Source organism: Homo sapiens, chromosome 11 (genome assembly GCF_000001405.40).
Source record: "Homo sapiens chromosome 11, GRCh38.p14 Primary Assembly".
NCBI lineage: Eukaryota > Metazoa > Chordata > Mammalia > Primates > Hominidae > Homo > Homo sapiens.
The window spans coordinates 48,649,635-48,674,834 of record NC_000011.10 but is presented as its reverse complement, the minus strand read 5'-3'; positions in this window follow the sequence as shown (position 1 = coordinate 48,674,834).

The following is a 25,200-nucleotide window of genomic DNA, read 5'->3' as shown; positions in this document are numbered from 1 at the left end:
TTAACTGTGTGAGATGAATGCACACATCACAAAGCAGTTTCTCAGAAACATTCTTTCTAATTTTTATGTGAAGATATTTTCTTTTTCACCATAGGCCATAATGCATTCCCAAATATCCCTTTGCAGAATGGACAAAAACGCGTTTGCAAATGGCTGAATCCACAGAAAGTTTTAACTCTGTGAGGTGAATGCACACATCACAAAGTAGTTTCTCAGAAAGCTTACTTCTAGTTTTTATCTGAAGATATTTTCTTTTTCACAATAGGCCTCAATGCACTCCCAAATATCCCTTCATGGATTCTGCCAAAACAGTGTTTACAGACTTCTGAAAGAAAAGAAGGTTTTAACTCTGTGAGGTGAATGTACACATGACAAAGATGTTCCTCAGATAGCTTCCTTCTAGTTTTTATCCTTGGATATTCCCTTTTTCTTTTCTGGCCTCAATAAGCTCCCAAATGTCCATTTACAGTATGGAAAAATAAAAACAGTGTTTGCAAACTGATGAATCTACAGAAAAGTTTAACTGTGTGAGATGAATGCACACATCACAAAGCAGTTTCTCAGAAAACTTCTTCCTAGTTTTTATCTGAAGGTGTTTCCTTTTTCACCATAGGCCTTAATGCGATCCCAGATATCACTGTGCAGATTCTACAGACACAGTATTTCTAAACTGCTGAATCCAAAGAAAGGTTTAACTCTGCAAGATGAACACACACATAACAAAGCAGTTTCTAAAAAAGCATCTTTCTAGGTTTTATCCGAATGTATTTTCTTTTTCACCGTAGACATCAATGCTCTACCAAATATCCCTTTGTAGATTCTACCAAAATAGGATTTCCAAACTGCTGAATGAAAAGAAAGGTTTAACTCTGTGAGATGAATGCACACATCACAAAGCCATTTCTCAGATAGCTGCCTTCTAGTTTTTACCCTGGGATATTGGCTTTTACGGCATTGACCTCAATGAGCTCCCAAATATCACTTCACAGGTCCCACAACAACAGTGTCTCCAAACTGCTAAATCCAAATAAAGGTTTACCTCTCAGAGATGAGTGCACACATCACAAAGCAGTTTCTGAGATAATTTCCTTCACGGTTTTTTGCTGGGATATTCAATTTTTCCCCACTGGCCCCATTAAGCTCTCAAATATCCCTTCACAGATTCTACAACAACAGTGTCTCCAAAATGCTGAATCCAAAGAAAGGCTTAATTCTGGGAGATGAATGCACACATCACAAAGCAATTTCTCAGAAGGTTTCTTTCTAGTTTTTATCTTAAGATACTTCCTTTTTCACGTTAGGCCTCAATACACTCCCACATATCCCTTCTTGGATACTGCCAAAGCAGTGTTTCCAGGCTGCTGAATGAAAAAGAAAGGTTTAATTCTGTAAGATGAATGCACAGGTCAGAAAGCGGTTTCTCAAAGAGCTTCCTTCTAGTTTTTATCCTAAGATAGTTGCTTTTTCCCCATTGGCCTTATTGAGCTCCAAAATATCTATTTGCAGAATGGGAAATAACATGGGTCTCATACCGCTGAATCCACAGTCATGTTTAATTTTGTGAGATGAATGCACACGTCACTAAGCACTTTCTCAGAAAGCTACTTTCAATTTTTTCTCTGAAGAGATTTCCTTTTAAACAGAGTCCCTAATGCACTCTAAAATTTAACTATGCTGATTCTACAAAACAGTGTTTCCAAACTGCTAAATGGAAAGAAAGGTTTAGCTTTGCATGGTGAATGCACACATCACAAAGCAGTCTCTCAGATAGCTTCCTTCTAGCTTTTTTTTTTTCCCAGGATATTCACTTTTTTGGCCTTTGGCCTCAATGAGCTCCCAAATGTCCATTTGCAGATTGGGCAAAACTGCCGAATCCACACAAATATTTAACTCTGTGAGATGAATGCACAGATGAATAAGCACTTTCTCAGAAAGCTTCTTTCTAGTTTTTATCTGTGGATATTTCCTTCTTAACCATAGTGCTCAATGCGCTCCCAAATATCCCTTCACAGATCCTTCCAAAACAGGGTTTCTTGACTGCTGAATGAAAAGAAAGGTTTATCTCTGTGAGGTGAATGCACACATCACAAAGAAGTTGCTCAGATTGCTTCTTTCTTGTTTTTATCCTGGTATATTTGCTTTTTCATATTTGCCTCATTGAGCTCCCAAATGTCCACTCACAGAATGTACAAAAACTGTATTTGCAAACTACTGAATCCACAGAAATGTTTAACTCTGTGAGATGAATGCACACATCAAAAAGCAGTTTCCCAGAAAGCTTCTTTCTAGTTTTTATCTGAAAATATTTCCTTTTTCACCATAGACCTCCATGCGGTCCCAGATATCACTTCGCAGATTCTACAAAAACAGTGTTTCCAAACTGCTGAATGAAAAGAAAGATTTATCTCAGAGAGATGAATGTACTCATCACAAAGCAGTTTCTCAGATGGTGTCCATCTAGTTTGCATCATGGGATATTCACTTTTTCGCCTTTGGCCTCAATGAGCTCCCAAATATCACTTTGCAGATTCTACAGCATTTTCCAAACTGCTGAATAGAAAGGAAAATTTAACTCTGGGTGATGAATGCACATATCACAAAACAGTTTCTCAGAAAGCTACTTTCTTGTTTTTATCTGAAGATATTTCCCTTTTAGCATAGGCCTCAATGGGCTCCCAAACATCCCTTCGTGGATCCTGCCAAAACAGTGTTTCCAGACGGATGAATGAAAACAAAGTTTTAACTCTGCGAGGTGAATGCACACATCACAAAGTGGTTTCTCAGAGAGCTTCTTTCTTGATTTCTTTCCTTGGATATTCACTTTCTCACCTGGGCCTCATTAAGCTCCCAAATATCTCTTCACAGATTCTACCAAAACAGTGCTTCCAAGCTGCTGAATGTAAAGAAAGGTTTATCTCTGCAAGATGAATGCACACATCACAAAGCAGTTTCTCAGATAGCTTCCTTCTAGTTTTTATCCTGGGATATTCACTCTTTTGCCTTTGGCCTCAATAGCTCCGAAAGTCCATTCGCAGAATGGGCAAAAACAGTGTTTGCCAACTGCTGAATCCACAGAAAGTTTTAACTCTTTAAGATGAATGTGCACATCAGAAAGCCTTTTCTCAGAATGCTTCTTTCTAGTTTTTATCTGAAGTTATTTTCTTTTTCACAATAGGCCTCAATGCACTTCAAATATCCCCTCACAGATTCTGCCAAAACAGTGTTTCCAGACTGCTGTATACAAAGAAACTGTTAACTCTGCAAGGTGAACGCACACATCACAAAGTGGTTTCTCAGATAGACTCTTTCTAGTTGTTATCCTGGGATTTTTACTTTTTGGCCATTGGCCTCAATGAACTCCAAAATGTCCATTCACAGAATGGAAAAAAAAAAGTGTTTCCAAACTGCTGAATGGAAAGAAAATTTTAACTCTGAGAGATGAATGCACGCATTAGAAATTAGTTTCTCAGAAATCTTCTTTCTAGTTTTTATCTGAAGGTATTTCCTTTTTCACCATAGGCCTCTATGCATTCCCAAATATCCCTTTGCTGATTGTGCCAAAACAGTGTTTCCAGACTGCTGAATGAAAGAAAGGCTTATCTCTGTGAGGTGAATGCACACATCACAAAGCATTTTGTCATATAACTTCCTTCTAGTTTTTATCCTGTGATATTCACTTTTGTGCCATTGGCCTCAAAGAACTCCCAAATGTCCACTCACAGAATGGACGAAACAGTTTTGCAAGTGGCTGAATCCATGGAAAGTTTTAATCCTGTGAGGTGAATGCACACATCACAAAGCAGTTTGTCAGAAAGCTTCTTTCTAGTTTTTATCTGAAGATGTTCCTTTTTCAACATAGGCCTCAATGTGCTCCCAGATATCCCATTGCAGAATCTATGAAAACAGTGTTTTTAAACTCATGAAGGAAAAGAACTGTTTAACTCTGTGAGATGAATGCACCCATCACAAAGCAGTTTGTCAAGTAGCTTCCTTCTACTTTTTATTCTGGGATATTCTCTTTTTCCCCATTAACCTCAAAGAGCTCCCAAATGTCCATTCACAGAAAGGACAAAAACAGTGTTTGCAAACTACTGAATGCACAGAAAGGTTGAACTCTCTGAGACGAATGCACACATCACAAAGCAGTTTATCAAAAAGCTTCTTTCTAGTTCTTATCTGAAGTTATTTTCTTTTTCAGTATCGGCCTCAATGTGCTTCCAGATATCCCTTCACAGATTCTGTGAAAGCAGTGTTTCCAAACTGCAGAATGAAAAGAAACGTTTACCTCTGTGAGTTGAATGCGCGCATCACAAAGCAATTTCTCAAATAGCTTCTTTCTAGTTTTTATCCTGGGATATTCACTTTTTTGCAATTGGCCTCAATTAGCTCCCAAATGTTCTTCTGAAGAATGGACAAAAAGAGTATTTGCAAACTGCTTAATCCATAGAAAGGATTAACTCTGTGAGATGAATGCACACACCCAAAGTTGTTTCTCAGAAAGATTCTCTCTAGTTTCTTTTTTTATTATTATACTTTAAGTTTTAGGGTACATGTGCACAATGTGCAGGTTTCTATTTGAAGATACTTCGTTTTTCAACATAGGCCTCCATGCGATCCCAATTATAACTTTGCAGATCCTACAAAAATAGTGTTTCCATACTGTTGAATGTAAAGAATCTTTTAACTCTGAGAGATGCATGCACACATCACAAAGCAGTTTCTCAGATAGCTTCCTTCTAGTTTTTTTTTCTTGTGATATCTGGTTTTTCCCCTTTGGCCTCATTAGACTCCCAAATATCCCATCACAGATTCTAGGACAACAGTATTTCCATACTGCTGAATCCAAAGAAATGTTTAACTCTGTGAGAAGAATGCACCCATCAGAAAGCAGTTTCTCAGAAAGCTTCTTTCTAGATTTTATCAGAAGTTATTTCCTTTTTCACCATATGCCTCAATGCATTCCCAGATATCACTTCACAGACTGTACAAAAACAGTGTTTCCAAACTGCTGAATGAGGAAAAATTTTAACTCTGAGAGGTGAATGCCCACATCACAAAGGGGTTTCTTAGATAGCTTCCTACTAGTTTTTTTCCTGGGATAATCAGTTTTTTGCCATTGGCCTCATTAAGCTCCCAAATATCCCTTCACAAATTCTACAATAACCATGTTTCCAAAATGCTGTATCCAAAGATAGGTTTTACTCTGTGAGATGAATGTATGCTTCACAAAGCAGTTACTCATAAAACTCCTATCTAGTTTTTTAAAAAACTAGTTTTAAAAAAATATATTTTAAAAAAATATTGTTTCCAAACTGCTGAAAGAAAAGAAAGTTTTAAATCTGTGAGATGAATGCATAAATTGCAAAGCTGTTTCTCAGATAGCTTCCATTTTTTATCCTGGGATATTTGCTTTTTTGCCATTGGCCTCAATGATCTCCCAAATATTCCATTGCAGATTCTACAACAACAGTGTTTGCAAACTGCTGAATCTGCAGAAAGTTTTAACTCTGTGAGTAGAATGCACTCATCACAAAGCAGTTTCTCTGAAAGCTAATTTATGGTTTTTATCTGAAGAAATTTCCTTTTACGCCATAGGATTCCATGTCCTCCCAGATATCACTTCACAGATTCTACAAAAACAGTGCTTCCAAGCTGCTGAATGAAAAGAAAGATTTAACTCTGTGAGATGAATGCCCACATCACGAGGCTATTTCTCAAAAACTTCATTCTAGTTTTTATCCTGGGATATTCACTTTTTTGCCATTGGCCTCAATGAGCTCCCAAATATCCATTTGCAGAATGGGCAAAAACAGTGTTTGCACACTGCTGAATCCACAGAAACGATTAACTCGGTGAGATGAATGCTCAGATCACTAAGCACTTTCTCAGAAAGTTTCTTTCTAGTTTTTATCTGAAAACATTTCCTTTTTAACCATAGTCCTCAATACGTTCATAAATATAACTTTGCAGATTCTACAAAAAACAGTGTTTCCAAACTGCTAAATGAAAACAATGGTTTGTCTCTGCGAGTTGAATGCACACAGCACAAAGCAGTTTCTCAGATAGCTTCTTTCTAGTTTTTGTCCAGGGAATTTCACTATTTTGCCCTTGGCCTCAATGAGCTCCCAAATGTCCATTCACAGAATGGACAAAAACAGAATTTGCAAACTGCAGAATCCACAGAAATTTTAACTCTGTGAGATGAATGCACACATGACAAAGCAGTTTCTCAGAAAGCTTCTTTCTAGTTTTTGTCTGGTATTTCCTTTTTCACCCCAGGCCTCAGTGAGCTCCCAAATTTCCCTGTGCAGATTCTATGAAAACAGTGCTTCCAAACTGCTGAATGAAAAGAAAGGTTTAGCCGTTCAAGATGAATGCACACATCGCAATGCAGTTTCTCACAGGGCTTCCTTCTAGTTTTTATCCTGGGATAGTCCCTTGTTTGCCATTGGCCTCAATGAGCTCCCAAATATCCATTTGCAGAATGGACAAAAACATTGATTGTAAACTGCTGAATTCACAGAAAGAATTAACTCTGTGAAAGGAATGCACACATCACAAAGCAGGTTCTCTGAAAGCTTGTTTCTAGTTTTTATCCAAAGATATTATCTTTTTCACCATAGGCCTCAATGCACTCCCAGATATCCCTTTGTGGATACTTCCAAAACAGTGTTTGCAGACGACTGAATGAACCGAAAGGTTTATTGCTGTGAGGCAAATGCACACATCCAAAGCAGTTTCTCAGATAGCTTCCTTCCAGTTTTTATCCTGGGATATTCACTTTTTTGCCATGGGCTTCAATGAGGTCCCAAATGTCCATTTGCAGAATGGACAAAAACAGTGTTTGCAATCTGCTGAATCCACAGAAATTTTAACTCCATAAGATGAATGCGCACATCAGAAAGCAGTTTCTCAGTTAGCTTCTTTCTTGTTTTTATCTGAAGATATTTCCTTTTTCACCATAGGCCTCAATGCACTCCCAGATATCCCTTCGCAGACCCTACAAAAACAGTGTTTCCAAACTGCATAATGAAAAGAAAGTTTTGACTCTGAAATGTGAATTCACACATCACAAAGTTGTTTCTCAGATAGCTTCCTACTATATTTTTTTCTGGGTTATTCTCTTTTTTGCCATTTGCCTCATTAAGCTCCCAAATACCACTTTGCAGATTCTACAACAACTGTGTTTACAAACTGCTGAATCCAAAGAAAGCTTTGACTCTGTGAGATGAATGCACACAGCACAAAGCAGTTTATCAGAAAGTTTATTTCTAGTTTTTATCTGAAGATATTTCCTTTTTCACCATATGCCTCATTTAGCTCCCAAATATCCCTTCACAGATTCTGACAAAACAGTGTTTCCAGACTGCTGAATGAAAAGAAAGGCTTAACTCTGTGAGATGAATGCACACATCATGAAGCGGTTTCTCAGATAGCTTCCTTCTAGTTTTTTTCCTGGGATATTGGCTTTTTCACCATTGGCTTCAATGAGCTCCCAAATGTCCATTCACAGAAGGGGCAAAAACAGTGTTTTCAATCTGCTAAATCCACAGAAAGGATTACCTCTGTGAGATGAAGGTACACATCACAAAGCAGTTTCTCGTAAAATGCACTCCCAAGTATAAACTCAAAGATTCTACAAACACAGTGTTTCCAAACTGTGGAGTGAAGTCATAGAGATGAATTCACACATCACAAAACGGGTTTCTCAGGTAGCTTCCTTTTAGTTTTTTTCCTGGGATATTCATTTTTTTGCCATTGGCATCAATGAGCTCCCAAATGTCCATTTGCAGAATGGGGAAACAGTGTTTGCAAACTTCTGAGTCTACAGAAAGGCTTAACTCTGTGCGATGAATGGACAGATGACTAAGCACTTTCTCAGAAAGCTTATTTCTAGTTTTTATCTGAAGATATTTCCATTTTAACCATAGTCCTCAATACCCTCCCAAATATCACTTCACAAATCCTTCCAAAATAGTGATTCCAGACTGCTGAATGAAAAGAAATGTTTATTGCTGTGAGGTGAATGCACATATCACAAAGCAGTTTCTCAGATATTTTTCTTCCAGTTTTTATCCTGGGATACTTGGTTTTTTGCCATTGCCTTCAATGAGCTCCCAAACGTCCATTTGCAGAATGGACAAAAACAGTGTTTGCAAGCTGCTGAATCTGCAGAAAGTTTAACTCCATGAGATGAATGCACACATGAAAAAGCAGTTTCTCATTTGCTGAATGGACATTTGCTGAAAAGCATTTGCTGAATGGACAACAGTGTTTTCAAAATGTTGTTTAAAACGAAAGGTTTAAATCTGTGAGATGAATGCACACATCTCAAAGCAGTTTTTCAGCAAGTTTCTTTCTAGTTTTAAGCTGAGGTTATTTCCTTTTTCACCTCAATGAAATGGTAGGCCTCAATGTGCTACCAGATATCACTTCACAGATTTTATTAAAACAGTGTGTCCAAACTGTTGAATTATAAGAAAGGTTGAACTCCACCAGATGAATGCACACATCACAAATCAGTTTCTCTGAAAGCTTCTTTTTTGTCTTTATCTGAAGATATTTCCTTTTTCACCATAGGCCTCAATGTGCTCCCAAATATCCCATCGTGGTTTCTGCCAAAAGAGTATTTCCAAACTGCTGAATGAAAAGAAAGGTTTATCTCTGTGAGGTGAATGCACCCATCATAAGGTGTTTTCTCAGATAGATTCCTTCTTGTTTTTATCCTGGGATATTTGCTTTTTTGTGATTAGTCTCAATGAGCTCCCAAATGTCCCTTCACAGATTCTACAACAAAAGTGTTTTCCAATTGCTGAAACCAAAGAAAGGTTTCTCTTTGTGAGATGAATGCACACATCACAAAGCAGTTTCTCAGAAGGACTCTTTCTAGTTTTATCAGAAGATATTTCCTTTTTCACCATAGGCCTAGGTGCACTCTGGGGATATATCCCTTTGGGGATTCTTCCAGAACAGTGTTTCCAGATTGCTGAATGAAAAGTAAGTTTTACTTCTGTGAAGTGAATGCACACATCACAGTGCATTTTCTCAGATAGCTTCCTTCTAGTTTTTATCCTGGGATACTGTCTTTTTTGCCATTGGCCTCAAGGGCTCCCAAATATTCCTTCACAGATTCTACAACAACATTGTTTTCAAACTGCTGAATCCACAGAATGGTTTAACTCTGTGACGTGAATGCAAGCATCACAAAGCAGTTTCTCAGAAAGCTTCTTTCTAGCTTTTTTCTGAAGATACTTCCTTTTTCACCATAGACCTCAAAGCGCTCCCAAATGACACTTCACAGATTCTAGGAAAGCAGTGTTCAAAAACTGCTCAAAGAAAAGGAAAATTTAACTCTGTGAGATGAATGCACACATCACAAACCAGTTTCACAAAGAGCTTTCTTCTACTTTTTATCCTGGGATACTCATTTCTTCACCATAGGCCTCAATGAGCTCCCATATATCCCTTCACAGATTCTACAACAACAGTGTTTCCAAAATGCTGAATGCAAACAAGGGTTTAGTTCTTTGAGATGGATGCACATATCACAAAGCCATTTCTCAGAGTGCTTCTTTATAGTTTTTATCTGAAGATATTTCCTTTTTCACCATAGGCCTCAATGGGCTCCCAAATATCATTTCAGAGATTCTGCAAGAACAGTGTTTCCAGATTGCTGAATGAAAAGTATGTTTTACTTCTATGAGATGAATGCACACATCACAAAGTGGTTTCTCAGATAGCTTCTCTCTACTTTTTATCCTGGGATATTCACTTTTTCACCTTTGGCCTCAATGAGCTCCCAAATGTCCATTCACAGAATGGACAAAAACAGTGTTTCCAAACTGCCCATTCCACAGAAATGGTTATCTCTGTGAGATGAATGCACACATCACAAAGCTGTTTCTCAAATAACTTCCTTCTAGTGTTCATCCTGGGATATTTGCTTCTTTGCCATTGACATCAATGAGCTCCCAAATGTCCATTTGCAGAAAGTACAAAAACAGTGTTTGCAAACTGCTGAATCCACAGAAAGGTTTAACTGTGTGAGATGAGTGCACACATCAGAAAACAGTTTCTCAGAAAACTTCTCTCTAGTTTTATCTGAAGATATTTCCTTTATCACCATTGGCCTCAGTGCGCTCCCAAATATCCCTTTGTGGATTCTGTCAAAACAGTGTTTCCAGACAGCTGTAGGAAACAAAAGTTTTAACTCCATGAGGTGAATGCACACATCAGAAAGTGGTTTCTCAGATGGCTTCTTTCTAGTTTTTATCCTGGGATATTTGCTTTTTTGACTTTGGCCTCAATGAGACCCCAAATGTCCATTCGCAGAATGGACAAACACAGTGTTTCCAAACTGCTGATTCCACAGAAAAGGTTAACTCTCTGAGATGAATGCACACAATCACAAACCTGTTTCTCAAATAACTTCCTTCTAGTTTCTATCCTGGGATACTCCTTTTTTGTCACTGACACCAATGAGCTCCCAAATGTCCATTTGCAGAAAGTACAAAAACAGTGTTTGCAAACTGGTGAATACACAGAAAGATTTAACTCTGTGAGATCAATGCATACATTACAAAGCAGTTTCTCAGAAAGCTTCTTTCTAGTTTTTAATCTGAAGTTATTTCCTTTTTCACCATAGTCCTCATTGCACTCCCAAATATCCCTTCGGGGATTCTGTCAGAACTGTGTTTCCAGATTGCTGAATGTAAAGTAAGTTTTACTCTGTGAGGTGAATGCACACATCAGAAAGCTATTTCTCATATGGCTACCTTGTAATTTTTATCCTTGGATCCTGGCTTTTTGGCTATTGTTCTCAAAGAGTGCCCAAATATTCCTTTGCAGATTCTACAACAACAGTGTTTTGAAACTGCTAAATCCACAGAATGGTTTAACTCTGTGAGGTGAATGCACACATCCAAAGCAGTTTCTCAGAAAGCTTCTTTCTAGTTTTTTTCTGAAGATATTTCCTTTTTCACCATAGGCCACAAAGCTCCCCCACATATCACTTTGCAGATTCTAGGAAAACAGGGTTCATAAACTGCTGAATGAGAAGAATGGTTTAATTTTGCTAGGTGAATGCAAACATCACAAAGCTGTTTCTCAAATATCTTCATTCTAGTTTTTATATTGGGATATTTGTTTTTTCACCATTGATCCCCTAGAGCTCCAAAATATCATTTAGCAGATGCTACAGCAACAGTGTTTCCAAACTGCTGAATCCTAAGAAACGTTTCACTCTGTGAAATGAATGCACACATCAGAAAGCAGTTTTTCAGAAAGCTTCTTTCTAGTTTTTATCTGAAGACATTTCCTTTTTCACCACAGGCTTCAATGCATTCCCAGATATCCCTTCGCAGATTCTATGAAAACAGTGTTTCCAGACTGCTCTATGAAAGAAAGGTTTAACTCTGTGAGATGAATTCACACATCACAAAGCGGTTTCTCACATGGGTTCCTCTAGTTTTTAACCTGAGATATTCACCTTTTTGCCATTGAACTCAAAGAGCTCCCAAATGTCCATTTACAGATTCTACAACCACAGTGTTTCCAAATTGCTGAATCCAAAAAAAGATCTGTGAGATGAATGCACACATCACAAAGCTGTTTCTAAAAATGTTTCTTTCCAGTTTTTATCTGAAGATATTTAATTTTTCACCATAGGCTTCAACACGCTGCCAAGTATCCTTTTGAAGTTTCTACAAAAACAGTGTTTCCAAACTGCTTAATGAAACGAAAGGATTAACTCTGCTTTAAGAATGCACAATTCACAAAGTCATTTCTCAGACAAATTCCTTCTAGTTTTAATCTTGGGATATTCGCTTTTTCACCAATGTGCTCCAAAATGTCCATTCACAGAATGGACACAACTGTGTTATCAAACTGCTGAATCTGAAGAATGGTTTAACTCTGTGAGATGAATGCACACAACCCAAACCAGTTTCTCATAAAGCTTCTTTCTAGTTTTTATATGAAGATATTTCCTTTTTCACCATAGGCCTCAATGCACTGCCAAATATCTCTTAGCAGATTCTAAGAAATGAGTGTTTACAAACTACTGAAAGAAATGAAAGGTTTAACTCTGTGATATCAATGCACACATCATGAATCAGTTTCTCAAACAATTTCTTCTAATTTTTGTCCTGGGATATTCACTTTCTCACCATTGGCCTCAATGAGATCCCAAATGTCCATTCATAGCATGGACAAGAACAGTGCTTCCAAACTACTGAATACAAAGGAAGGTTTAACTCTGTGAGATGAATGAACACACCACAAAGCAGTTTCTCAGAAAGCTTCTTTCTAGTTTTTATCTGAAGATATTTCCTTTTTCACCATTGGCACCAAAGTGCTGCCAAATATCCTATTGCAGTTTCTACAAAAACAGTGTTTCCAAACTGGTGAATGAAAATAAAGGTTTAACTCTGTGAGATGAATGCACACATCATGAATCTGATTCTCAGATAACTTCCTTCAAGTTTTCGTCCTGGGATATTCACTTTTTTTGTTTGGCCTCGATGAGCTACAAAATGTCCATTCGCACAATGGACAAAAACAGTATTTACAAACTGCTTAATCCACACATCACAAAGCGGTTTCTCAGATAGCTTCCTTCAAGTTTTTATCCTGGGATATTTGCTTTTTCACCATTGACCTCAATGAGCTCCCAACTGTCCATTCGCAGAGTGGACAAAAACAGTGTTACCAAACTTCTAATTCCAAAGAAAGGTTTAACTCTCTGAGATGAATGCACACATCCCAAACCTGTTTCTCATTAAGCTTCTTTCTAGTTTTATTTGAGGATATTTTCTTTTTCACCGTAGGCATCAATGCACTTCCAAATATCTCTTTGCCAATTCTAAGAAAAAAGTGTTTCCAAACTGCTGAATGAAAAGAAAAGTTTCACTCTGTGTGATGAATGCACACATCACAAATCAGTTTCTCAGATAATTTTCTTAAAGTTTTTATCCTGGGATATTCTCTTTTTTGCCATTGGCCTCGATTAGCTCCCAAAAGTCCATTCACAGAATGGCCAGAAACAGTGTTTCCAAACTCCCGTATCCTAAGAATTGTTTAACTCTGTGAGATGAATGAACACATCACAAAGCAGTTTCTCAGAAAGATTCTTACTAGTTTTTATCTTAAGAGGTATTTTTTTGACCATAGGCATCAATGTGCTGCCAAATGATCTTACACAGTTTCTACAAAAAAATTGTTTCCAAACCACTGAATTAAAAGAAATGTTCAACTCTGCTAGATGAATGCACACATCACAAAGCGGTTTCTCAGATAGCTTCCTTCTAGTTTTAATCCTGGGATATTCACTTTATCGCCATTGACCTCAAAGAACTCTGAAACGTCCATTCCCAGAATGGACCCAAACATTGTTTCCAAACTACTGAATCCAAAGAAAAGTTTAAGTCTCTGAGATGAATGCATACATCATGAATCGGTTTCTCATATAATTTCCTTCTAGTTTTTATCCTGGGATATTTTCTCTTGCCCCATTGGCCTCAATGAGCTCCCAAATGTCCATTCATAGAATCAACAGAAACAGTGTTTCCAAAGTGCTGAATCCAAATAAAGGTTTAACTCTGTGGGATGAATGAACACATCACAAAGCAGTTTCTCAGAAAGCTTCTTTCTAGTTTTTATCTGAAGATATATCCTTTTTCACCATAGGCCTCAATGTGTTACAGAATATCTCTTCACAGATTCTAAGAAATCAGTGTTTCCAAACTGCTGAATGAAAAGAAAGGTTTACCTCTGTGAGATGAAGGCACACATCATGAATTGTTTTATCAGTTAACTTCCTTCTAGTTGTTATTATTGGATATTCACTTTTTTGCCCTTGGCCTCAATGAGTTCCCAAATGTCCATTCCACGAATGGATAAAAAAGTGTGTTTCCAAACTGCTGAATCCAAAGACAGGTTTAACCCTCTGAGATGAATGCACACATCTGAAACCAGTTTCTCATTAAGCTTCTTTCTAGTTTTTATCTGAAGATATTTCCTCTTTCACCATTGGCCTCCATAGTCTTCCAAATATCTCTTGGCATACTCTAAGAAAACAGTGTTTCTAAACTGCTGAATTAAAAAAAAAGATTTAACTCTGTGAGATGAATGCACACATTATGAATCGGTTTGTCAGATAACTTCCTGCAAGTTTTTATCCCGGGATATTCTCTTTTTCACCATTGGCCTCAATGAGCTCCCAAATATCCATTCACAGAATGGACAAAAACAGTATTTCCAAACTGTCGAATCCAAGGAAAATTTAACTCTGTGAGATGAATGAACACATCACAAAGTAGTTTCTCAGAAATCTTCTTGCTAGTTTTAATCTGAAGATGTTCCCTTTTTCACCATGAGCCCCAATGTGCTACCAAATATCTCTTTGCAGATTCTAAGAAATCAGTGTTTCCAAACTGCTGAATGAAAACAAAGGTTTAACCCTATGAGATGAATGCACACATCACAAAGCAGTTTCTCAGGGAGCTTCCTTCTAGTTTTAATCCTGGCATATTCACTTTTTCCCCTTTGGCCTCAATGAACTCCAAAATGTCTATTCACAAAATGGACAAAATCAGTATTTCCAAACTGGTGAATAGAAAGAAAGTTTTAACTTTGTGAGATGAATGAACACATCACAAAGCACTTTCCCAGAATGTTTCTTTCTAGTTTTTATCTGAAGATATTCTCTTTTTCACCATAGGCATTAATGGGCTGCTAATATTCTTTCACAGTTTCTACAAACACAGTGATTCCAAACTGCTGAATGAAAAGAAACTTTATCTCTGCTACATGAATGCACACATCACAAAGCAGTTTCTCCAATAGCTTCCTTCTAGTTTTAATCCTGGGGTATTTCCTTTTTTGCCTTTTGCTTCAGTGAGCTCCCAAACGTCCATTCACAGAATGGACAAAAACAGTGTTATCAAACTGCTGAATCCAAAGAAAGGCTTAACTCTGTTGGATGAATGAACACATCACAAAGCAGTTTCTCAGAAAGCTTCTTACTAGTTTTTATCTGAAGATAATTCCTTTTTCACAATGGGCCACAATGCGCTACCAAATATCTCTTCACAGATTCTAGGAAAATACTGTTTCCACACTGCTGAATGAAAAGAAAGTTTTAACTCTGCTAAATGAATGCATGCATCACAAAGCGGTTTCTCAGATAACTTCCTTCTAGATTTTATCCTGGGATATTCGCTCTTTTGCCATTTGCTTCAATAAGCTTCCAAATATCCATTTGCAGAATCGAAAAAAACAGTGTTTCCAAACTGCTGAATGCAAAGAAAGTTTTAACTTTTTGAGATGAATGCACATATCATGAACTGGTTTCTCAGATAACTTCGTTCTAGTTTTTATCCTGGGATAAATGCTTTTTTGCCATTGGCCTCAATGAGTTCACAAATGTCCAATCCAAAAATGGACAAAAGCTGTGTTTCCAAACTGCTGAATACAAAGACAGATATAACACTGTAGGATGAATGCACAAATAAAAACCAGTTTCTCATTAAGCTTCTTTCTAATTTTTATCTGAAGATATTACCTTTTTCACCATTGGCCTCCATACTCTTCCAAATATCCCTTGGCAGATTCTAAGAAAACAGTGTTTCTAAACTGGTGAATGAAAAAAAGATTTAACTCTGTGATATGAATGCAAACATCCCAAATCGATTTCTCTGATAACTTCCTTCAAGTTTTTATATTGGGATATTCTCTTTTTTGACATTGGCCTCAAAGAACTCTGAAATGTCCATTCTCAGAATGGACAAAAGCAGTATTTCCAAACTGCTGTATCCAAGGAAATTTTAACTCTGTGAGATGAATGAACACATCACAAAGTAGTTTCTCAGAAAGCTTCTTGCTACTTTTTATCTGAAGATATTTCCTTTTTTACCATGGTCCTCAATGTGCTTCCAAATATCTCTTTGCAGATTCTAAGAAATCAGTGTTTCCAAACGGCTGAATGAATAGAAATGTATAACTCTGTAAGAGGAATGCACATATCTCAAAGCAGTTTCCTAGATAGCTTCCTTCTAGTTTTAATCCTGGGATATCTGCTTTTTCACCATTTTCCTCAATGAGCTCCTAAACGACCCTTCAAAGAATGGACACAAACAGTATTTCCAAACTGCTGAATCCAATGCAAGGTTTAACACTGTGAGATGAATGCACACATCATGAATAGGTTTCTCAGATAACTTCCTTCTAGTTTTATCCTTGGACATTCACTTTTTCCCCATTGGCCTCAATGAGTCAGAAAGTGTAAAATCACAGAATGGACAAAAACAGTGTTTCCTGGAGCCTCTCTCATTGCTAACACAGCTGTATGAGATCAAACTGCAAGATGGCAGTGAAGCTAGGGTGGGGCGCCAGCCATTGCAGAAGTTTGAGCATGTAAACAAAGTGGCTGGGAAGCTTGAAAAGGGTGGAGGCCACCGCAGCTCAAGGAGGCCTGCCTGCCTCTGTAGACTCCACCTCTGGGGGTAGGGCATAGCCAAACAAAAGGCAGTAGAAACATCTGCAGACTTAAATGTCCCAGTCTGACAACTTGGAAGACAGTAGTGGTTCTGGACACAGCATGCAGCTTGAGATCTGAGAACGGACAGACTGCCTCCATAAGTGGGTCCCTGACCCCTGAGTAGTCTAACAGAGAGGCACCCCCCAGGAGGGGCAGACTGACACCTCACAAGCCTGGGTACCACTCTGAGAAAAAACTTCCAGAGGAACATTCAGGCAGCAACATTTGCTGTTCACAAATATTCGCTGTTCTGCAGCCTCTGCTGCTGATACTCAGGCAAACAGGATCTGGAGTGGATTTCCAGCAAACTCCAACAGACCTGCAGCTGAGGGTCCTGTCTGTTAGAAGGAAAACTAACAAACACAAAGGACATCCACATCAATACCCCATCTGTACGTCCTCATCATCAAAGACCAAAGGTAGAAAAAACCACAAAAATGGGGAAAAAACAGAGCAGAAAAACTGAAAATTCTAAAAATCAGAGTGCCTCTCCTCCTTCAAAGGAATGCATCTCCTCATGAGCAATGGAACAAAGAGGACAGAGAATGACTTTGATGAGTTGAGAGAAGAAGGCTTCAGATGATCAAACTACTCTGAGCTAAAGGAGAAAGTTGGAATCCATGGCAAAGAAGTTAAAAACTTTGAAAAAAGATTAGATGAATGGCTAACAAGAATAATCAATGCAGACAAGTCTGTAAAGGACCTGATGGAGCTGGAAACCATCGCAAAAGAACTACATGACAAATGCACAAGCTTCATTAGCAGATTCAATCAACTGGAAGAAAGGGTATCAGTGATGGCAGACGAAATGAATGAAATGAAGTGAGAAAAGAAGTATAGAGAAAAAAGGGTAAAAAGAAATGAACAAAGCCTCCAAGAAATATGGGACTATGTGGAAAGACCAAATCTACTTATGATTGGAGGGCCTGAAAGTGACGGGGAGAATGGAACCAAGTTGGAAAACACTCTGCAGGATATTTTCCAGGAGAACTTCCCCAATCTAGCAAGGCAGGCCAACCTTAAAATTCAGGAAATACAGAGAATGCCACAAAGACACTCCTCGAGAAGAGCAACTCCAAGACACGTAATTGTCAGATTCACCAAAGTTGAAATGAAGGAAAAAATGTTAAGGGCAGCCAGAGAGAAAGGTCGGGTTAGCCACAAAGGGAAACCCATAAGACTGACAGCTGATCTCTCAGCAGAAACTCAGCAAGCCAGAAGAGAGTGGTGGCCAATATTCAACAATCTTAAAGAAAAGAATTTTCAACTCAGAATTTCATATCCAGCCTAACTAAGCTTCATAAGTGAAGGAAAAATAAAGTACTTTACAGACAAGCAAATACTGAGAGAATTTGTCACCATCAGGCCTGCCCTACAAGAGCTCGTGAAGGAGGAACTAAACATGGAAAGGAACAACCGGTACCAGCCACTGCAAAAACATGCCAAATTGTGAAGACCATCGAGGCTAGGAAGAAACTGCATCAACTAACGAGCAAAATAACCAGCTAACATCACAATGACAGGATCAAATTCTCACATAACAATATTAACCTTAAATGTAAATGTGCTAAATGCTCCAATTAAAGGACACAGAGTGGCAAATTGGATAAACAGTCAAGATCAATCAGTGTGCTGTATTCAGGAAACCCATCTCACGTGCAGAGACACACATAGGCTCAAAATAAAGGGATGGAGGAAGATCTACCAAGCAAATGGAAAACAAAAAGAGGCAGGAGTTGCAATCCTAGTCTCTGATAAGACAGACTTTAAACAAACAAAGATCAAAAGAGACAAAGAAGGCCATTACACAATGAAAAGGAATAAATTCAACAAAGAGCTAACTATCCTAAATATGTATGCACCCAATACAGGAGCACCCAGATTCATAAAGGAAGTCTTTAGAGACCTACAAAGAGACTTAGACTCCCACACAATAATAATGGGAGATTTTAACACCTCACTGTCAACATTACATAGATCAACGAGACAGAAAGTTAACATGGATACCCAGGAATTGAACTCAGCTCTTCACCAAGCAGACCTAATAGACATCTACAGAACTCTCCACCCAAAATCAACAGAATATATATTCTTCTCAGTACCACACCACACTTATTCCAAAATTGACCACACAGTTGGAAGTAAAGCACTCCTCAGCAAATGTAAAAGAGCAGAAATTATAACAAATTGTCTCTCAGATCACAGTGCAATCAAACAAAAACTCAGAATTAAGAAACTCACTCAAAACCACTGAACAACATGGAAATTGAACAACCTGCTCCTGAATGACTACTGGGTACATAACGAAATGAAAGGAGAAATGAAGATATTCTTTGAAACCAAAGAGAACAAAGACATAACATATCAGAATCTCTGGGACACATTCAAAGCAGTGTGCAGAGGGCAAGCAGGAAAGATCTAAAATTGACACCCTAACATCACAATTAAAAGAACTAGAGAAGCAAGAGCAAACACATTCAAAAGCTAGCAGAAGGCAAGAAATAACTAAGATCAGAGCAGAACTGAAGGAGATAGAGACACAAAAACCCTTCAAGAAATCAATGAATCCAGGAGTTGGTTTTTTGAAAAGATCAACAAAATTGATAGAACACCAGCAAGACTAATAAAGAAGAAATAGAGAGAAGAACCAAATAGGTGCAATAGAAAATGATAAAGGGGATATCACCACCAATGCCACAGAAATACAAACTACAATCAGAGAATATTATAAAGCTCTACGCAAATAAACTAGAAAATCTAGAAGAAATGGATAAATTCCTCGACACATACATCCTCCCAAGACTAATCCAGGAAGAAGTTGAATCTCTGAATAGAGCAATCACAGGCTCTGAAATTGAGTCAATAATTAATAGCTTACCAACCAAAAAAAGTCCAGGGCCAGACGGATTCACAGTCAAATTCTACCAGAGGTACAAGGAGGGGCTGGTACCCTTCCTTCTGAAACTATTCCAATCAATAGAAAAAGACGGAATACTCCCTAACTCATTTCATGAGGCCACATGATCCGGATACCAAATCCTGGCAAAGACAGAACAAACAAAGAGAATTTTAAACCAATATCCCGGATGAACACTGATGCAGAAATCCTCAATAAAATACTGGCAAACCAAATTCAGCAACACATCAAAAAGCTTATCCACCACGATCAAGTGGGCTTCATCCCTGGGATGCAAGGCTGGTTCAACATATGCAAATCAAAAAACATAATCCAGCATATAAACAGAACCAATGACAAAAAGCACATGATTATCTCAATGGATGCAAAAAAGGCCTTTGACAAAGTTCAACAACCTTCATACTAAATACTCTCAATAAATTAAGTATTGATGAGGTATCTCAAAATAATAAGAGCTATCTATGACAAACCCACAGCCAATATCATACTGAATGGGCAAAAACTGGAAGCATTCCCTTTGAAAACTGGCACAACACACGGATGCCCTCTCTCACCACTCCTATTCAACATAGTGTTGGAAGTTCTGGCCAGGGCAATTAGGCAGAAGAAGGAAATAAAGGATATTCGATTAGGAAAAGAGGAAGTCAAATTGTCCCTGTTTGCAGATGACATGATTGTATATCTAGAAAACCCTATCATCTCAGCCCAAAACCTTCTTAAGCTGATAAGGAACTTCAGTAAAGTCTCAGGATACAAAATCAATGTACAAAAATCACAAGCATTCTTATACACCAATAACAGACAGAGAGCCAAATCATGAGTGAACTCCCAGTCACAATAGCTTCAAAGAGAATAAAATACCTAGGAATCCAAATTACAAGCAATGTGAACGAACTTTAAAAGGAGAACTACAAACCACCGCTCAAGGAAATAAAAGAGGATACAAACAAATAGAAGAACATTCCATGCTCATGGGTAGGAAGAATCAATATCGTGAAAATGGCCACACTGCCCCAGGTAATTTATAGACTCAATGCCATCCCCATCAAGCTAACAATGACTTTCTTCACAGAATTGGAAAAAACTACTTAAAAGTTCATATGGAACCAAAAAAGTGCCTGCATGGACAAGTCAATCCTAAGCCAAAAGAACAAAGCTGGAGGCATCATGCTACCTGCCTTCAAACTGTACTACAAGGCTACAGTAACCAAAACAGCATGCTACTGGTATTAAAACAGATATAGGCCAATGGAACAGAACAGAGCCCTCAGAAATAATGCCACATATCTACAACTATGTGATCTTTGACAATCCAGACAGAAAGAAGAAATGGCGAAAGGATTCCCTATTTAATCAATGGTGCTGGGAAAACTGGCTAGCCATATGTTGAAAGCTGAAACTGGATCCTTTCCTTACCCCTTATACAAAAGTTAATTCAAGATGGATTAATTACTTAAATGTTAGATCTAAAACCATAAAAACCCTAGAAGAAAACATTGGAAATACTATTCAGGACATAGGCATGGGCAAGGACTTCATGACTAAAACACCAAAAGCAATGGCAACAAAAGCCAAAAAGCCAAAATTGACAAATAGGATCTAATTAAACTAAACAGCTTCTGCACAGCAAAAGAAACTACCATCAGAATGAACAGGCAACCTACAGAATGGGAGAAAATTTTTGCTAGCTACTCATCTGACAAAGGGCTAATATCCAGAATCTACAATGAACTCAAACAAATTTACAAGAAAAAACAAACAACCCCATCAACAAGTGGGTGAAGGATATTAACAGACACTTCTCAAAAGAAGACATTTATGCAGCCAAAAAACACATGAAAAAATGCTCATCATCACTGGCCATCAGAGAAATGCAAATCAAAACCACAATGAGATACCATGTCACATCAGTTAGAATGGTGATTATTAAAAAGTCAGGAAACAAGAGTTGCTGGAGAGAAAGTGGAGAAATAGTAACACTATTACACTGTTTTTGGGACTGTAAACTAGATCAACCATTGTGGAAGTCAGTGTGGGGATTCCTCAGGGATCTAGAACTAGAAATACCATTTGACCCAGCCATCCCATTACTGGGTATATACCCAAAGGATTATAAATCATTCTGCTATAAAGACACATGCACACGTAAGTTTACTGTGGCACTATTCACAATAGAAAAGACTTGGAACCAACCCAAATGTCCAACAATGATAGACTGGATTAAGAAAATGTGGCACATATACACCATGAAATACTATGCAGCCATAAAAAAGGATGAGTTCATGTCCTTTGTAGGGACATGGATGAAGCTGGAAACCATCATTCTCAGCAACCTATCCCAAGGACAGGAAACCAAACACCACATGTTCTCACTCATAGGTGGGAATTGAACAATGAGAACACTTTGAAACAGGAAGGGAACATCACACATTGGGGCCTGCTGTGGGTTGGAGAGAGGCGGGAGGGATAGCATTAGGAGATATATCTAATGTAAATGATGAGTTAATGGGTGCAGCACACCAACAAGGGACATGTATACATATGTAACAAACCTGCACGTTGTGCAAATATACCCTAAAATTTAAATTATTACAAAGAAAAAAAACAGTTTTCCCAAACTGCTGAATCCAAAGAAAGGTTTAACTCTGTGGGATGAATGAACTCATCACAAAGCAGTTTCTCAGAAACCTTCTTTCCAATTTTTATTTGAAGATACATCCTTTTTCACCATAGCCCTCCATGGCTACCAAATATCTCTTCACAGATTCTAAGAAATCAATGTTTCCAAACTGCTTAATGAAAAGAAAGGTTCATCTCTGAGATGAATGCACACATCACGAATTGGTGTCTCAGATAACTTACCTCTAGTTTTTATCCTGGGATATTCGCTTTTTCGCCATTGGCCTCAATGAGTTCCCAAATGTCCATTCCAAGAATGGAGAAAAACTTTGTTTGCAAACTGCTGAACCCAGTCATGTTTACCTCTCTGAAATGAATGCACACAACCCAAACCAGTTTTTCATTAAGCTTCTTTCTAGTTTTTGTCACTAGATATTTCCTTTTTCACCATTGAACTCCATGGTCTTCCATATATCTCTTGGCAGATTCTAAGAAAACAGTGTTTCCAAACGGCTGAAAGAAAAGAAAGATTTAACACTGTGTGATGAATGCACACTTCATGAATCGGTTTCTCAAATAACTTCCTTCTAGATTTTATCCTGGAATATTCGGTTTTTTGCCGTTGGCCTCAATGAGCTCCAAAATGTCCATTTGCAAAATGGGCAAAAACAGTATTTCCAAACTGCTGAATCCAAAGAGACGTTTAAACCTGTGAGATGAATGTACACTTTACCAAGCAGACTTTCAGAAAGTTTCTAGTTTCAATCTGAAGATATTTCCTTTTTCACCATAGGCCTTAATGTGCTGACAAATATCCTTTTGCAGTATCTACAAATACAGTGTTTCCAAACTACTGAATGAAAAGAAAGGTTTAACTCTGCTGGATGAATGCACACATAAAAAAAACGGTTTCTCAGGCAAATTCCTTCTATTTTTAATCCTGGGACATTCGGTTTTTTGCCATTGACCTCATTGAGCTCCCAAATGTCCATTCGCAGAATCAACAGAAACAGTGTTTCCAAACTGCTGAACACAAAGAAAAGTCTAACTCTGTGAGACAAATAAATGCATCACAAAGAAGTTTCCCAGAATGCTTCTTTCTAGTTTTTATCCAAAGATATTTTTTTTTTACCTTAGGCTTCAGTGAGGTGCCATATGCTCTTTTGCAGTTTCTACAAAAACAGTGCTTCAAAACTGCTAAATGAAAGGAGATGTTTAACTCTGATAGATGAATGCAGAGATTAAAAAGTGGTTTCTCAGAGAGCTTCCTTCTATTTTTAATCCTCTGAGAGTCACTTTTTCACCTTTGACCCAATGAGCTCCCAAATGTCCATTTGCAGAATGGACAAAAACAGTGTTTCCAAACTGCTGAATCCAAAGAAAAGTTTACCTCTCTGAGATGAATGCACACATCCCAAACCTGTTTCTCATTAAGCTTTATTCTAGTTTTTATTTGAAGATATTTCCTTTTTCACCATAGGTGTCAATGTGGTACAAAACATCTCCTCACAGATTCTAAGAAAACCCTGTTTCCAAACGGCTGAATGAAAAGAAAAGTTGAAATCTGTTAGATGAATGTGCACATCAATATTAGGTTTCTCAGATAACTTCCTTCTAGTTTTGATCCTGAGATATTCACTTTTTCTCCATTGGCCTCAATAACCTCACAAATCTCCATTCACTGAATGGACAAACACAGTGTTTCCAAACTGCTGAATCCAAAGAAAGGTTTAACTCTATGAGATGAATGAAAGCATCACAAAGCAGTTTCTCAGAAAGCTTCTTTCTAGTTTTCATCTGAAGATATTTCCTTTTTGACCACAGGCATCAACGCACTGCCAAATATCCTTTCACAGTTTCTAAAAAAACAGTGTTTCCAAACTGCTAAATCCAAAGAAAGTTTTAACTCTGTGAGATGAATGCCCACATCCCTAACCCGTTTCTCATTCGGCTTCTTTCTAGTTTTTATTTGAAGATATTTCCTTTTTCACCAAAGGCCACAATGCGCTATGAAATATCTCTTTGCAGATTCTAAGAAAACCCTGTTTCCAAACTGCTGAATGAAAAGAAAAGTTGAACTCTGTGAGATGAATGCACACATCAAAAATCGGTTTCTCAGATAACTTCCTTCTAGTTTTTATCCTGGGATACTCGCTTTTTTGACATTGGTCTCAATAAGCTCCAAAATGTCCACTTGCAGAATGAAGAAAGGCAGTGCTTCCAAACTACTGAATCTAAAGAAAGTTTTAACTCTGTGATATGAATGAACACATCACAAAGCATTTTCTCAGAAAGATTCTTTCCAGTATTTACATAAAGATTTTTCCTTTTTGACCATAGGCATCAATGCACTGGCAAATATCTTTTCACAAGTTCTCCAAAAACCGTGTTTCCAAACTGCTGAATGAAAGAAAAGATTTAACTCTGCTAGATGAATAAGACATCACAAAGTGATTTCTCAGATAGCTTTCTTCTAGTTTTATTCCTGGGTTATTCCCTTTTAAGCCATTGGCCTCAATGAGCTCCCAAACATCCATTCACAGACTGGACAAAAACAGTGTTACCAAAGCGCTGAATCAAAAGTCAGGTTTAACTCACTGCGATGAATGCACACAACCCAAACCAGGTTCGCAGAAAGATTCTTTCTAGTTTTTCTATGAAGATGTATCCTTTTTCACCAAAGGCCTCAGTGCGGTACCAAATATCTCTTGGCATTTTATAAGAAATCAGTGTTTCCAAACTGCTAAATGAAAAGAAAGGTTTAGGTAGGGGGTGGAGCCAAGATGGCCGAGTAGTAACTGCTCCAGTCTACAGCTCCCAGCGTGAGTGACCCAGAAGATGAATGATTTCTGCATTTCCAACTGAGGTACCAGGTTCATCTAATGGGGACTGTTGGACAGTGGGTGCAGGACAGTGGGTGCAGTGCACCAAGTGTGAGTCAAAGCAGGGTGAGGCATCACCTCACCCAGGAAGTGCAAGGGGTCAGGGAATTCCCTTCCCAAGCCAAGGAAAGGTGAGACAGATGGCACCTGGAAAATCAGGTCACTCCCACCCTAATACTGTGCATTTCCAATGGTCTTAGCGAATGGCATACCAGGAGATTATATCCTGTGCATGGCTCAGAGGA